Below are 17,121 nucleotides of genomic sequence, written 5' to 3'. Positions count from 1 at the left end.
ATACCCTTCACACTAACACAAGTATTATCATTGCTGGCATATCTTCTCCATTGCTTGTATGTTAAAAGATCCATCCATGCATTCATCTATTTAACATTAACACGGCTGCACTTACTTGACAAATGTTGTTTTTCCAGTTCTGTTTTAAGGCAGATATTTTGAACTAAAAAGATGTGAAGAAAGATAGCGCTTGGGTTTGAGCATAACGTGGGGTCTCTACATCATTGTGCACTTCTGTGGAAGGTGTTTAGTGTTTTATGAGAGGCCAGATACTTACAGACATGTACAGGTAACAAGTCTATATCTGTGTGAATATCCACCCATTGGATGTTCACCAATAAGCAAATGTGTGATATTGTGTTGTATAATCCTAAATCGCATAGCTCTGTGGTTGGCAAAGTTTTTCTGCAAAGGGCCAGATAGTAAACATATTTGGCTTTCAGGTATCTGTCACAACTTCCCAACTATGCTATTGTGGATCAAAAGCAGCTATAGACAATATGTAAATGAATTAGCATGGCTGTGTCCTAATAAAAGTTTATTTATGGGGACAGGCGTGGTGGCTCACACCTGTAATTCCAGCACTTTGGGAGACTGAGGCGGGCGGATCATAAGGTCAGGAGATGAGACCATCCTGGCTAACACGGTGAAACCCTGTCTCTACTAAAAATTAAAAAAAAAAATTAGCCAGGCGTGGTGGCGGGCGCCTGTAGTCACACCTACTCGGGAGGCTGAGGCAGGAGAATGGCGTGACCGGGAGGTGGAGCTTGCAGTGAGCCCAGATCGCACCACTGCACTCCAGCCTGGGCAACAGAGCGAGACTCAGTATCAAAAAAAAAAAAAAAGAAAAGAAAAGAAAAGAAAAAAGTTTATTTATGGACACTACAAATTAGATTTTATATAATTTTCACATATTATGAAATATTATGCTTTTTATTTTATTTTTTTCAACCACTGAAAAGCCTGAAAACATTCTTCACTCCCGGGCCCAACAAAATCTGATGGCAGGCCAGATTTGAGCCATGGTCAGTGTTTGCTGACCCCTAGCAGATATGATGGTCTCTGCATCTAGAACAGCTGTCTGAATTTGCCTGATAGATCTATATTCAGGTTGCATGGAAGAGAAGCATCTGTTCCTTTGATACACATTTTTACTTGAGTGTAGGTGACAATGATTCTCACACCAGCAGTGAACGACTTTTTGCAGCAGGTGGTTGACCACAGGGAGCGAACCAAGGAACACACTATGAGTCATGGAGGGAAGCCTATGTAGGGGGACCCCTTGCCTATTCCAAAGGTTTCCCAGCCTCAAGTCCTCTCCCCGTTCACTGAAACAGGTCAGAGCATCAGCCTTTTCAGGAGCTGACAATGGCCAGCACTTCTGGAGGTAGGTAGAAGCAAAGGAGAAGGGCATTCAGCAGGAGCAGAGTGGAACTTGTCTCCAGGTTCCATATTAGCTCTCTCTTCCTTCTCTTCCAAGAGCTACCAGTGGCACACTGATATGAATTGCACTAATAAAAGTGAAAGTCTTTTTTTTTTTTTAATTCCACCAGACAACTGGAGAAAGTGGAAGTTTTAACAGCTGACTGACCAAATAACGTACTTACTCTTGCTAGGGATTTTTAAAACATATATGTACACTCACACATATGTATGTAATGAATATATGCAAGTACAGGAAGCAGACTGTGGTTAGAGTTTGGAATATAGGATGCTAATTAAAAAGGATCCTTGGTAATGACATCTGGAAGGGAAGAGAGGAGACAGTAGTGAGGAGGGGGAGAAATTGAGCTACAATGCAGGCCCAGCCACACAGACCTCACAGGGAACTCCACAATCAGAATGGATCTTCAGAGTTGTGCCAACTTGGCTCAAGACAGACAGGTTTTATTGATTGTGTCAGTTGATTGTGAGTCACCCAGGAAGGGGTGTGACCTTGTGTGAGGCAGTTCTCTGCAGCTGGGTCAATCCCTGATGTAGTTGACAGCTGAAGGCTGTCTGCTGGCTGCTCTTTGAGACCTGACCTACAAGTCTTCGGTGAAGGGATTTCCCCTCCCCTCCCCTCCCCTCGTCTCCCCTCCCCTCCTCTCCCCTTTCCCTTTCCTTCCCCTTTCCATCTATCATCTATCTAGCATCTATCTTTCTTTTTTTTCTTTTTTTTGAGACAGAGTCTCTCTCTGTTGCCCAGGCTGGAGTGCAGTGGCACAATCATGGCTCACTGCAGCCTTGACCTCCTGGGCTCCTGTGATCCTCTTGCCTCAGCCTTCCTAGTATCTGGGAGCACAAGTGTGCGTTACCATGTCCAGCTAATTTTTTGTTTGTTTGTGTTTCATAGAGACAGAGCCTTGCTTTGTTGCCCAGGTGGTCTTGAACTCCTGAACTCCTGGGCTCAAGCAATCCTCCAGCTTCAGGCTCCTAAAGGACTGAAATTACAAGTGTGAGCCACCACTCCCAGCCTAGCATCTATCTTTCTGTCTGTCTGTCTATGTATATGTATCTATCTATCTATCTATCTATCTATCTATCTATCTATCATCATTTATCTTTCTATCCTCTATCTCAGGTGTGTGTGTGTGTGTGTGTGTGCGTGCGTGTGTAAATTTAGGAACTCTAATATTATAGAACCTAGACAGTGCCTAGCACTTGACATCATTTGTGTGTAGGACTATGATTGATGTTTGACTAGGAATCATAATCCCTGTGGTAGTTACTATAATTTTATCTAGTCATGAAGAAAGGACTAAGAAGTACTTGAGGCTTACGGAGAAGAGACAACCCAAAAGAAGGATTTCTGATTCTCAGCCTATGATCCATTTGGCCTATTTTTAAAACCAGACAGTATCTAAATATGAGATTTTTAAAAATCACTCTACTTGAAACCCAGTGTTCAGTTGTAAAATGCAGTTTCTCCATGTATGTTTGTTTTCCATATTTTTTTTTTCTAAAGTCTACTGGAAATTTCATTTTGAGACTGGGGAAATAATTTTACCTCAAACATACTTAACCTTTGACAACCTTATTTAAAAGGTGCTCAATTTGGGTTTAACTTTTGTAACAGCCTAGGTCATTTCCTTTTTTTTTTTTTTTTTCTTTTTTTCAAGTGAGCATAAATTTTGAACAATGTGCTTCTCAGGGCTTTCTTACAGTTCTCAAATCTCTTGGCCTTTCATTGATCCCTAAAAAAGATAAAAGGTGTCGTATCTCTTTTTTCCTTCTACTATACTAATTTATGCATGTCTTCATTTTTATTTTTTAAAGACACATAATCTGGCCAGGTGAGGTGGCTCACGCCTGTAATCCCAACACTTTGGGAGGCAGAGGAGGGGAGATCACTTGAGGTCAGGAGTTCACCAGCCTGGCCAACATGGTGAAACCCATATCTACCAAAAAATACAAAAATTAGCTGGGCCTCGGGGTATGCACCTGTAATCCCAGCTACTTGGGAAGCTGAGGTGGGAGAATTGCTTGGACTGGGAGGCAGAGGTTGCCACTGCACTCCAGCATAGGCAAGACAGTGAGACCCTGACTGAAAAAATAACAAATAAAATAAAGACACATAATCAAAATGATTGTATTGCAATATTAATCAATTGAAAGTGTTTATTTTGTTCTCATTACTAAGTATGAAATTTGCCTTTTTCAGTTTATCTTGAGAATAGTGAGTTTGTAATACAATCCCTTTTCTTGATTTTATTTTGATTTTCTTTTTCAGTCTGCGTGACATTCTTTTTTTAAAAAATGGCTCTTGGAACAGTATTTTTATTTTTTATTTTTTTGCAGGTTGCTCTCACCGTTGACTACATAAGCCCTAGACGTGAGCATTTGTTAGATGGCCTCCCCTCCCACGTCTGCCATCACTGACAGTGAAAGTCAGCCAGTGACCCTGAATTGTCTGCCATTTCTCTCTCCTCTTTGCCCTTGTCATCCAATAAGTCTCCCAGCTCTGCCAATTTTCCTCAGTTTGAGTTTTCAGATTTTAGCACCTGTAATAACTGCCCAAGGCTAGGTTCTAATTATCTCGCACCTGCAATATTTTAATGACCTCTGGCCAGTTTTCCCGACATTCGGGGAGACACCCTAACCCAGTAGCAGATTCATTTTCAAGAGTGTTCTAATCACTTCGCCTTCTCTGGGCACAGTCCTGGCTTTCACTGGCCTTTTCTTTCATTTCAGGGCCCCTGACCTTGGACATTGGGGTCCTCCTCCAGCTGCTACTTGCATGTTATGGCTTTCTTCCCCTGGACTCACCCCTCCTGATCCCCTAGGGCCACACTGGCCTCCTCCACAGCCAAACACGTTTCCCCTCAGGGTCTGTACTATTGCCTTTCTTGCTGCCTGAGATTCTTCCCTTCCTGTTTCTCCTTGGGGCTCTTTGTCTCCTTGCAGTTAGGACTCTGATCAAAGACCCATCTTCACAGACCAGACCTAACCAACTGCCCAGAAGAGCGAGCCTCCACTATCCTGTCTCCTTACCCTCCCTTATTTTCATTCATGGCACTAATCAGTATCTGAAAATACTTTATATACGTACTACTTGCTTCCTGTCTAACTTCACCACTAGAATCTCGCCACAAAAACAGGACACATGTCTGTCTCCTTCACTAGGAGTCCAGGGCTGCCAGTGTTTGGATACAGAAGAGAGCACAGGATTTACACTGACCATCAGTGCCATTACACATTTTTATCATGTATGTGAAAGCACTTTACAGAACTCAAAAAATAGACAGATAAGCATTTAGTCCTTGATTTTGTGCCATAGTACTGTATCCTGGAATACTTCCCATCCTCCTCACGTTCAAACCCCATTTCTTCCTTCCTTCCCATCTCAGCCTAAGACTGGCTTCTCCATTAGGACTTTCCCTTGCTGTATTTGAAGAGACCAATCAACAGCACTTGCTTCTCTGTCCCTATTCTGGACAAATTGAAACATAGAACAAAGTAGTAAGGCCAAGGAGATCAGGTTTCCACCATTATTACTGAAAAAGTCTACACTGCGGGATGTGGTTTAGATCTGCAGGTAAATGTGTTATCCAATGCTGAACACCCAAAGAGGTGGGCTTACCTGCCCCAACACAGGTGGTACCGCACTGGGGCAAGCCCCCCTCTGTTGGGGAATGTCTTTCTGGAGGAGCAGCACAGAGTATTTCCCTTTACACATTTTCCTTCCTTGCCTTTTGTAAATCTAACCACTTTTTTTTTTTCAAATCATCTGAACTCATCGATATAACTTGTATAACTCTCTTCTTCACCAAATTGTTCAGCGCCTCATAATATGTGTTATAATATGATTCTCATGTTAAATGCTCAGCAATGATTACTCATGTTAAAGTGGATTGATTACATTGCATCCAGCTTGAAGGCAGTGCATTTGGTCTCACAGTACCTGCACAAATGCTGTGCCCTCATGGCAGGTGTCACCACTTCTAATGTGACTCTCCATGATGCTCCCACCCTCAGTCATCAGCCTGACAAATGCATCTAATTTCTATCTTACAAAATGAACAAAATCTACCTGTGGGTTTATGTGCAAATCAACAATGACTATTCATTGTCAGTCAATGTTTACTCTTAGTGATGCTCGTATGGGAAATGTATTATTTGTATTACCCCAAGTTCCAATCATAAAACAACTCATCGATCTTTAAAATAAAAATGGGCACTGAGTTGCAGTCCAGGCATATTCAGTAAGTGACCTGATCAGTCAATATCAGTAAGGAGGTAGACAATAAGACCTTTGTATCAGTCAGGGGAGGTTAACAGGTAGTAACAAATAACCCCTGAATCTCATGGGCTTAAGACAAAGTTTTCTTCCTCACTCATACTACATGGCTGACTCTGGCAAATGGGGGCATTGCTTCTCAGGGGGCTCAGCCCCTGGAACGTTGCTGGCCACCATGGGAGGAGAAGGAGAGTATACTCACACCCACACATATACGAAATGCTCGGCAGAAGCGGCAGGTCTCTTCCACTCACAGCTCATTGGCCAGAACCAACCACATTGCTCCATTGAACACAGGGGTCCAAATGACATCCTCCTACCATTTCTCCACATCATAGAGAGCCAGAAGTACCTGACGAGGAGCATGACTAAATATTGCTGGCTACAACTGAGTCAGCAAGACCTACGCCTGCACAATATTCTGGAGTGTTCAATGGGCTTCAGGAATGAGTTGCATTCAGTGATGGAAAATAGCAATTGCTATTGATGAAGCTCCCAATTATTGTTGAATAACTTGAAAGAGTTTTAACTAGGATACCACTGCTCTGTCTTCAATGAATGATCGTATTTTCAACAGTGATGCAAAAGACACACTATCTGCATTTTCCTACTTTAAAATAATAAACATGAGATTATATTATAATATGGTGTTTTACACATATTTTTAAACCTGGATGGGGTTTTTGTTGTTGTTGTTCCAGAGTTACAGTTAAGAGTATCAAACATACGTGGCACTGGTCTTTAGGTCGTTATTCCCCCTTTCCCCTTAGAACTTTGGCTTGCCCAAAGATCTTTTTTTTTTTTTTTGGCTGCTAATGAGCTGGAATTATTGGCTTATTTTGTCCTCTTTTTTTCATTTTCACTCATTGGAAGCATTGAGAATGCTGCTTAAGTGGCCAAGAATCAGGTTATAAGAAGCAAATGCATAGAATGTTCTGGACTAGCTTTGTTGATGAAGTGAATATACCATGGGCATAGTTTGCCAAGGTGGCTCAGTCCATATCCTACAAGAGAGGAAGCACATGGTACCATGGAGCTTGTATTCCATTCATGATATCGATGGGTGCCAATGTGAACATTTATTTCTCCCTCTGTGATTAAGTTCTTTAACATTAATTAAAGAGGAATTCTACTTCATATTTTCCTGGCTCTTCTAATGCAAACTTTATCCTATAGTGTGTCTTCTCACTAACCAGAATAGCAATACAATGGAAATGGAGTCACCTCATTAGGTGTAACCCAAGTGTTGTGGCAGCCTGGTGTTGCAGGTGATGGGTTGATGGGTGCAGCAAACCCATGGCATGTGTATACCTATGTAACAAAACTGCACGTTCTGCACATGTAACCCAGAACTTAAAGTAAAAAAAAAAAAAAAAAAAAAAGAGTTCCTAATCCATCCTGTCAGTTCACTTGACATCTCCTATCTGCAGTGTCTTTGACAGAGTTGAGTGTTTCTCCTCTCCTGGTTGTTTAGGATCCCTTCTTCAGCCCTTCACCCGCTGCATGCAGGTGGCACCCCTTCATTTTCCTTCTGCTGGAGTCTTCTTGCATGGCTGGACAGGCTTCCTGAGCAGAGTCTAAGGAACTTGGGCTTTCTTTGCTCTGACTCTCTGTGGGGACAGGTTGTTGCCCTCTCTTCAGGCCACAATCAGAACTGCGTATCCGCTACCGTCTCTCTTTCCATAGATGTTATAGCACAAATCAGACATCAGTCTGCGTGATAGCTAATTTTAGGTGTCAACTTGACTAGATTGAGGGATGCCTAGATGGCTGGTGAAACATTGTTTCTGGGCACGACTGTTAGGGTGTGTATGCAGGAGACTAGCATGTGCGCCAGTGGACTGAGTGGGGAAGATCCACCCTGATGTTGACAGACACCGTGCAAACAGCTAGGGGCCCAGATAGAAAAAGAATGGTGGAAGGAGGGGGCAGACTCTTGCTCACCTTCTCTTTTGGAGCTGGGATGCCCTTCTTCTCCTGGCCTTGGACATCCGGATTCCAGGTTTTCCCGCCTTTGGACTCCAGGGCTTGCAACAGTGGCCCTCTGGGTTCTTGTGCCTTTGGCCTCAGACAGAGCTACACCATTAACTTCCTTGATTCTCAGGCCTTCGGACTTGGACTGAGCCACTCTCCTGGCTTCTCTGGTTCTCCAGTTTGCAGAAGGCCTATGTGGGATGTCTCAGCCTCCATAATTGTGTGACTCCATTCCCCTAATAAATTCCCTCACATCTATCTGTATCTACATCTATATCTGTATTCTATTGATTCAGTCTCTTTGGAGAACACTGACTAATACAGTTTCCAAACCCCAGGGGCTACATATCAAGATGTCTAAAACCTTTCTCTTGGATTGAGGTGAGAGGCAAACTCCCCCACACTCCCTATGGGAGGGGGTTTATAGAACAATTTATCCAAATAAGCCTTATTTTAATTTCTAATCCTACCATTTTGAACCCTTAATATACATATCAGATTTATATCCTCAAGATGACTGAGGGACTCAGAGTCATAAAGTTTTTTTTTCTGGTTATCTTGTTTTCAAATCCTGATAAACAAGGACTTGGGGCCTTAGGCAAAACTGAGATTGAAATATTTCTATTTTAATGTTTTTATTATACAGACATTTCCTCTCAAATGTCCCTGCAAATTAACATAGAGTGAAAATATACATCTCTATAAATGGGTTAAATACCGCACCAAATGTGATTTTATTGATCACTATAGTTTATATTCTCAAATAAGTCACAACCATTTCATCATCTCTCTTCATTGTATAATACAAATGATTATTATTTTTTTGCTCAAATACGTTGCAGCCAGGATCTCTTTAGCTCATACGCATTGTACCCTTGGTCTGTGTATGCCCCAGGTACAGGGAGGACAGGTTGTATGATTCTTATGAAATGCCTATCTTGGGAAGCCGAGGCAGGCAGTTCACTTGAGGTCAGGAGTTCAAGACCAGCCTAGCCAACATGGTGAAACCCTGTCTCTACTAATACAAAAAATTAGCCGGGCATGGTGGCACACACCCGTAATCCCAGCTACTCGGGAGGCTGAGGCAGGAGAATCATGTGAACCCTGGAGGTGGAGGTTGCAGTGAGCTGAGATCCCACCACTACACTCCAGCCTGGGCGACAGAGCAAGATTCCATCTCAAAATATAAAAATAAAAGAAATGCCCACCACTCCCTCCTCTCCACTGTCAGTCACTATTGAACATGCAGCAAATGTTTCCAGCAGCCTCTTTAGTTATCTCCCAAAAACATTTATTGCTTGACATTGTGGGTATGGGGTGTGGTTAACCAAGAGTTAACAGCTACTGCTGGTTTAAAGGACATGGCCCAGCCATTTACTGGACAAAGGGAAAAGGGTCATTTATGTGTAGAACTTACTCTGGAGAGCAGGACCATGCCAGTGTACCTTGGGGACAGGGGAGGGGGAGTGGCATGATAAAGCCAGTCATGGCAGCAGCTTTAGTAAAAAAGAAAATGAGGCTGGGTGCAGTGGCTCATGCCTGTAATCCCAGCACTTTGGGAGGTCAAGGTGGGTAGATCACCTGAGCTCAGGAGTTTGAGACCAGCCCGTCTCTACAAAAAATACAAAAATGCAAAAACATTATCTGGGCGTGGTGGCACATGCCTGTAATCTCAACTATTCGGGATACTGGGGCAGGAGAATCACCTGAACCTGAGAGGTGGAGGTTGCAGTGAGCCGAGATTGCGCCACTGCACTCCAGCCTGGGCAACAAGAGCAAGACTTCATCTCAAAAAAAAAGAGAAAATGCTCACATTTTCTACTTGTAGAGTTCATTGGCTGTATTTTCTGCTTTCCACTTGGTTGTTTGCTGTGTATATAGCTAACACTTGAGAAATATTTTCTGCTTTCTGTTGAATTGGAACCACAGATATTTGTGCTAGATAGGACATTGAAGATCATTTAATCCAGTGATGCCCTGTTGGAGTGTGAAGGTGTTTTAGAATGTCAAAATGGTTGTAATTTTACATTTTTGTATGTGCTCATTAACGAAATACATAGTAGCCAAAAGATGTTATAAACTCTACAGTGCTTTTAAATGATACTGGTTTTCTTAGACACAGTAATCTACATGCATGTAAAACTGTTATTTGTTTTATGTGTGGTGTGCATACGCACATACATATATATATGACAAATAGTATATTCTGTTTTTATGTAGGACTTATTATAGAATGTATATGCATTTTCACATCTTTACAATAACACCAGTCTTGACCCAGCTGGTTAGCAACCACCAGCCTTGTCTATTATTTTATGAATGAAGAGAGCATCAGATGCAGTGACTTGCCCGAGGTCACCCAGTAGTAGAAGGGCTGTTTGTCATTTAGCATTATGATCATTATTTATATTTCAACTAATTATTATTTGAGCCTATTTTGTGTCAGGCACTGGGGCACTGAGCTGAGGTCTGGGAATAAGGTATTAAGATGTAGCTCAGCAGAAATTTAGAAAGACATACATAAGGAAACAAAAGGGTTTCTAACTTATCCTGACCACAGTTTTCAGCAGAACCAATTCATTACTGTCTGGCTATATAGAAATGAAGTCAATAGAAAATCTGAGGCCAGTCATGGTGGCTCATGCCTGTAATCCCAGCACTTTGGAAGGCCGAGGTGGGTGGATCACTTGAGGTCAGTAGTTCAAGACTGGCCTGGCCAACATGACAAAATTTTGTCTTTTCTAAAATTATAAAAATTAGCTGGGCATTGTAGCACACACCTGTAATCTCAGCTACTTGGGAGGCTGAGGCAGGAGAATGACTTGTATCCGGGAGGCAGATACTGCAATGAGCCAAGATAGCACACTATACTCCAGCCTGGGCAACAGGGTGAGACTCCGTCTCAAAAAAAAAAAAAAAAAAGAAAAAGAAAAGAAAGAAAATTTGAAAACACCATATAGTCAAGGCAAAGCTATCCTGTCACCAGGCATATAGATAAAATGAGAGCCTGTGATGCCTAACATACTTCTTGGAATATAGTAGCCACTCAATTAATATTTGTTAAGTGAAAAAAATGACTTAATGAGAAGAATGTAAAGAAGGAGTAAGAAAATAACGTATTTTGAGACCTATATGATATTGCATTGATTCTTACATATATATATATATATATATATATATATATATATATATAAAACTTAATCTAGATGGGATATTTAATCCGCACCTAAAAAGGGGAAAAAAATCAAAATTCTGTTACCTTGTGAATTGATTGAAAGTGATTTAAAGATGTGCTTTACTGATAACCTGCATAGAAATTATATGTTGAAATGTGATTTCCTGGTACTTTTGGCATGATTGCATGAATCATGTGTTCCTATTATTTTCTAACCATCTTCTATTTTTTCTTAATCATAAAATATGGAGAAGGAAAAACTATACTATATTTTACAGATGGTAAAAGACCAAGACAAAGAAGGTAAAGTGAGTTACCCAAGGTCATATAGCAAGTACATTCATACAAAACTGTGAAAATAGTCATACTTCTACATGAAGGCACTAGGTTAAGGTTTGCTAATCACAGCAAACTGTAATGGTGGTGAAACTCTACAACACATTGGAATTAATTTAGATTATGCAGTTTAGGTGCATAAGGAATGATCACACTGGCTACAAATAAGTGTGGGAGGAAAAGAACTTGGGACACTGAATTTCTTCATATTATTCATTGCCTCTCCTGATTTTTATAATAATCTCTGCACCTTTCTCTGAGTAGTCAAAGAGTAATTTCTTTCTGGAAGGTGGCCTTGATGAAAAATGGAGTCGTGTGTGTGTGTTATTAATTTCACGTGACAGGCTGGAGGTGATTATTAAAAACACCAGGGATGCTTCAAGTGTGAAATAAATGTGCACACAGAGTGACCTTAGCTATCAGTAAGGCAAAATAAAAAGAGCACTGCTATAAGCCGAGTGTTTCTACGTCCCCAAAATTCACATGTTGAAATCCTCACCCCCAATACGATGGTATTAGGAGGCTGGGGCTTGGGGAGGTGATTAGGCCCTGAAGGTAGAGCCTTTATGAATGAGATTAGTGCCCACACAGCAAGAAAGCATCATCTATGAATCAGAAAGTGGGTCCTCAGCAGACACTAAATCCACTGTCACCTTGATCTTGGACTTCCCAGCCTCCAGAACTGTGAGCAATACATTCCTGTTGTGTATAAGACACTCAGTCTATGGTATTTTGTTATAGCCGCTGAATGAACTAAGACAAGCATATTTTGGAGAGGAAAAGCAATGAGTGACCTCTGGGGAGAAAGAAGATAACATTTTATTTTCTTCCTTTGCCATATAGAGTAGGTTGGGAATCTTGTCCCTAAATCCTTTATAGTCAGAGGTCAGCTCTTGTGAAAGAATCAGGTTTTTCCATTGTTTCTTCTGATGCTGGCATTTTGTTGAGCAAGGATAGGGGAACAATCGTGTGGCTCTTCTGGAAGTACTTCTGCCCAGAGCATAGCGTTGTTTCTCAGTATCTGCAGGGAATTGGTTCCAGGATTCCCCTCAGATACCAAAATCTGGAGATGCTCAAGTCTCTTATATAAAACGGCATAGGATTTGCCATTGTGTATATGGGCACATACTCCCATATACTTTAAATCATCTCTAGATTACTTATAATACCTCATACAATGTAAATGTTATTGAAATAGTTGTTGTGCTCTATTGTCTTATTAGATTGTATTTTTTTTTCATTGTACTGTCATTTTAATTTTTCTTCTTATTTTTGGGATATTTTGGTCCTTGGTTAGTTGAATCCGTGGATGCATGGATGCCAGTGTGGAGGGAGGGCTGACTGTGTTTGCTTTTCCTTCCTTCACCTTCCCATCTGCCACCCCCACTCTCCACAGAGCTGAGCTGTGGTTACTTCTTCACTTTGCCTTCAGCCAAGAGATAAAAAACGGTTTATTTTTTCCAAACTTTGAGATTCAGATGCCATTGCTTCTCCCCTTAAAGGAGAACTTTCAGTGAGAAGTATCTTATCTTGTATCTTCCTCAAAATGGAAAAAGCATCTTGGGAAATATGCAAAGTAGGAAAATATTCAAGGAAACTATGAGTTTCACTCTAAACATCACCATCAGAACTGTTCATTAAACTGGGAGTAAGATCATGGCATCACAGAATATTTATTTTTGTATTTATTATTTAATTTATTTATTTGTTTGTTTATTTTGGACAGAGTCTCACTCTGTCGCCCAGGCTAGAATGCAGGAGCATGATCTCGGCTCACTGCAACCTCCACCTCCCAGGTTCAAGTGATTCTTGTGCCTCAGCCTCAAAGTAGCTGGGATTGCAGGCATGTGCCACAACCTTGGCCAAACTGGCTTTGAAATCCTGACCTCAGGTGATCTTCCTGCCTCTGTCTCCCAAAGTGCTGGGATTACAGACGTGAACCATCACGTCTGGCCCATAGAATTTTTAAATGGCAGAGGATCTTCAAAGTTATCGGATCCAACCTTTATCCTAAAGTGGAAATCTCATGTTTAAAATCTGGCTTGAATACTTCCAGTGTTGGTGGGAATGCTTTTGTTCATGTCACCTCACTGGCTTTTATGGATCTCTAATTGATATAAGTCTCTGCCTTCAAACTCTGCCTGGAGCAAATAGGTATATAAAACATTTCTGTAATCTCAGCACTTTGGGTGGCTGAAGCGGGAGAATCACAGGGGCAGGAGGTCGAGACCAGCCTGGCCAACATGGTGAAACCCCGTCTCTACTAAAAATACAAAAAATTAGCTGGGCATGGTGGCAGGCACCTGTAATCCCAGCCACTCGGGAGGCTGAGGCAGGAGAATCGCTTGAACTGAGGAGGCGGAAGTGGAAGTGAGCCGAGATCGTGCCACTGCATTCCAGCCTGGGCGACAGTGCGAGACTCCATCTCAAAAAAAAAAAAAGTTTCATCGACACCCAAGGCTGAGGTGGGAAAACAGGAACAGGAAGAATGAACACGAACACACACACACACACACACACACACACACACACACACCATCCTGCCCTGCCAACACATACTGACTCACATCAGTTGTTCCTTTGGGACGTTAAGATTTTAAGAAAGAAAAGGCAGCAAGAAAATGAAAGAGGAGAAATGATCTTCTGTATGTTCCTGCAACCTCAACGAGTTCCAGGGTTCCTTTGCCCAACAGGCGGCTGTGGGGTTGGCTAGCTGGCTGGTAGCGCTGTGCTGCAGGCTTGTTGCTGCCGTGAGGAAAAACAGATTTCAAATACCAAGTTTAGCATCCCTCCATGCTATCTTGAAAATACAGCCACATAAACAGCACTTATCGAAGCAGGCCCAGGACAGCACATCCACAGAGATGATTAGGCTTCTGCTGAGGAGTGCTGGCTCTTTGAAAGCAGTCACACAGCAGGTTAACACCCTGCCTCCATGCTGCTCAGTGAAACGTTGCATTTATGGCTTCCCAAGGAAGGGGGAATCTTTATGTAGGTTTACAAAGCTGCTTCCGTGAACCGCAGTAAGTAATAATGGATCAGGTTTTTGGCCCAACATCACTGTGAAACTGTGAGACTAGTAGTAGTGGGTCTTACCTGCAGTGTATTTGGATGTGTGTGCCTGTGCGTATCCACATGTGTGTGTGATGGATGCGTTTGCAGGAAAAGTTTGGTATAAACAGCAGAGAAATAAACAACATATGCGCCAGCACATGTATGTCAATTTGGATGAGGATTTGAATTTTTTAACAGGAGACACTGTTGTTCAGCTTCCAGAAGTACTCTGTTTGAAAATGCTCATATATATATATATATGAAGAACAAACTAGAAAAGCTAGATTTTTACTATAAAAGCTAGTAAAATCTTTACATTACTGCCTTAGTCCACTCAGGCGGCTATAAGAAAATATCATGGGCTGAGTGGCTTATACACAATAGAAATGTATTTCTCAGAGTTCTGGAGGCTGGCAAGTACTAAGATCAAGGCACTGGCAGATTTAGTCACCAGTGAGGTTTCATTCTCTGGTTCACAGATGGTTCCTTCTCGCTGTATTTTCACATGGCAGAAAGGACAAGCAATCTCCCTCAGGCCTCCTTTATAAGGGCACTAATCTCATTCATGAGGCTTTGCCCTCATGATCTAATCAACTCTTGAAGCCCCCACCTCTAAATACAGTGGTGATTTCATTTCAACATATGAATTTCTAGGGGGGACACAAACATTCAGACCATAGCAGTGGTAGTATTTCACATAAATAAGTGGTTTAATTCTACTAAAGGTACATCCCTCCTTGCTTGCAGATATGGTTTGGCTGTGTCTTCACCCAGATCTCATCTTGAATTCCCACATGTTGTGAGAGGGACCTGGTGGGAAGTGATTGAATCATGGGGGCAGGTCTTTCCCATGCTGTTCTTGTGATAGTGGATGAGTCTCATGAGATCTGATGGTTTTAAAAAGAGGAGTTCCCCTCCACAAGCTCTCTTTTTGCCTGCCACCATCCATGTAAGACATGACTTGCTCCTCCTTGCCTTCTGCCATGATTGTGAGGCTTCCCTAGCCACATGGAACTGCAAGTCCAATTAAACCTCTTTCTTTTGTAAATTGGCAAGTCTCAGGTATGTCATTATCGGCAGCATGAAAATGGACTAATACAGTAAATTGACCAGTAGAGTGGGGTATTGCTGAAAAGATACCCAAACATGTGGAAATGACTTTGGAACTGGGTAACAGGCAGAGGTTGGAATAGTTTGGAGGGCTCAGAAGAAGACAGTAAAATGTGAGAAAATTTGGAACTCCCTAGAGACTTGTTGAATGGCTCTGACAAAAACGCTGATAGTGATAGGAACAATAAGATCCAGGCTGAGGTGGTCTCAGATGGAGATGAGGAACTTGTTGGGAACTGGAGCAAAGATGACCCTTGTTATGTTTTAGCAAAGAGACTGGCAGCATTTTGCTCCTGCCTGAGATATTTGTGGAACTTTGAACTTGAGAGAGATGATTTAGGGTATCTGGCGGAAGAAATTTCTAAGTAGCAAACCATTCAAGAGATGACTCAGGTGCTGTTAAAAGCATTGGGTTTTATGATGGAAGTAGAGCATAAAAGTTTGGAAAATTCGCAGCTTGACAACATGATAGAAAAGAAAATCCCGTTTTCTGAGGAGAAAATCAAGCTGGCTGCATAAATTTGCATATGTAAGGAGGAGCTGAATGTTAATTACCAAGACAATGGGTAAAATGCCTCCAGGGCATGTCTGAGGTCTTCACGGCAGCCCTTCCCATCACAGGCCTGGAGGCCTAGGAGGAAAAGTGGTTTCATTGGCCAGGCCCAGGATTCCCATGCTGTCTGCAGCCTAGGGACTTGTCCTTCATCCCAGCCACTCCAGCCATGGCTGAAAGGGGTCAACGTAGAGCTCAGTCCATTGCTTTACAGGGTTAAAGCCTCAACCTTTGGCAGCTTCCACATGGTGTTCAGCCTGAGAGTGCACAGAAGTCAAGAATTGAGGTTTGGGAAACTCTGCGTGGATTTCAGAAGATGTATGGAAATGCCTGGATGTCCAGGCAGAAGTCTGCTACAGGGGCAGGGCTTTCATGGAGAAGCCCTGCTAGGGTAGCGCAAAAGGGAAACGTAGGTTCAGAGCCCCCACACAGAGTCCCTACTGGGGCCTTGCCTAGTGGAGCTTTGAGAAGGCCACCATCCTTCAGACCTCAGAATGGTAGATCCACTGACAGCTTGCACTGTGCACCTGGAAAACCTGTAGGCACTCAGTGCCAGCCCACGAAAGCAGCCAGGAGGGAGGTTGTACCCTGCAGAGCCACAGGGGTGGAGCTGCCCAAGACCATGGGGACCCACGTCTTGCATCAGCATGACCTAGATGTGAGACATGGAGTCAAAGGAGATCATTTTGGAGCTTTAAGATTTGACTGCCCTGCTGGATTTTGGACTAGCATGGGGCCTGCAGCCCCTTTGTTTTGGCCAATTTCTCCCACTTGGAACAGCTGTCTTTACTCAATGCGTGTACCATCACGGTGTCTAGGAAGTAACTAACCTGCTTTTGATTTTACAGGCTCATAGGTGGAAGAGACCTGCCTTATCTCAGATGAGACTTTGGACTGTGGACTTCTGAGTTAATGCTGAAGGCATGATTGGTTTTGAAATGTGGGTACATGAGATTTTCCAGGGGCCAGGGGCATAATGATATGGTTTGTCTGTATCCCCACCCAAATCTCATCTTGAATTGTAGTTCCCATAATTCCCACGTGGTGTGAGGGACCCTATGGGAGGTAATTGAATCATAGGGGTGGTTACCCCCATGCTGTTCTTGTGATACTGAGTTCTCAAGAGATTTGATGGTCTGTAAGGGACTTTTCCGCCTTTGCTTGACACTCACTCCGTCCTGCCACCCTATGAGGAAGATG

General features: G+C 42.5%; 1 protein-coding gene across 20 annotated transcripts in view, besides 1 other annotated feature; it reads left to right on the top strand.

Moving 5' to 3' along the window:
- RGS7 (regulator of G protein signaling 7) overlaps positions 1-17,121 on the top strand; it is a 582,489-nt gene that overhangs the window by 198,564 nt on the left and 366,804 nt on the right. The gene's annotated exons all lie outside the window — the stretch shown is intronic.
- Positions 15,606-16,258: an enhancer, noted in NCBI's record as "OCT4-NANOG-H3K27ac hESC enhancer chr1:241305709-241306361 (GRCh37/hg19 assembly coordinates)". NCBI's record gives its function as "activates a minimal SCP1, AML or CMV promoter by ChIP-STARR-seq in primed H9 embryonic stem cells {active_cell/tissue: H9 hESC(primed)}" and the evidence as "EXISTENCE:reporter gene assay evidence [ECO:0000049][PMID:30033119]".

This window comes from Homo sapiens, chromosome 1 (genome assembly GCF_000001405.40).
Source record: "Homo sapiens chromosome 1, GRCh38.p14 Primary Assembly".
Lineage (NCBI taxonomy): Eukaryota > Metazoa > Chordata > Mammalia > Primates > Hominidae > Homo > Homo sapiens.
This window is presented reverse-complemented; position numbering and strand designations above follow the sequence as displayed.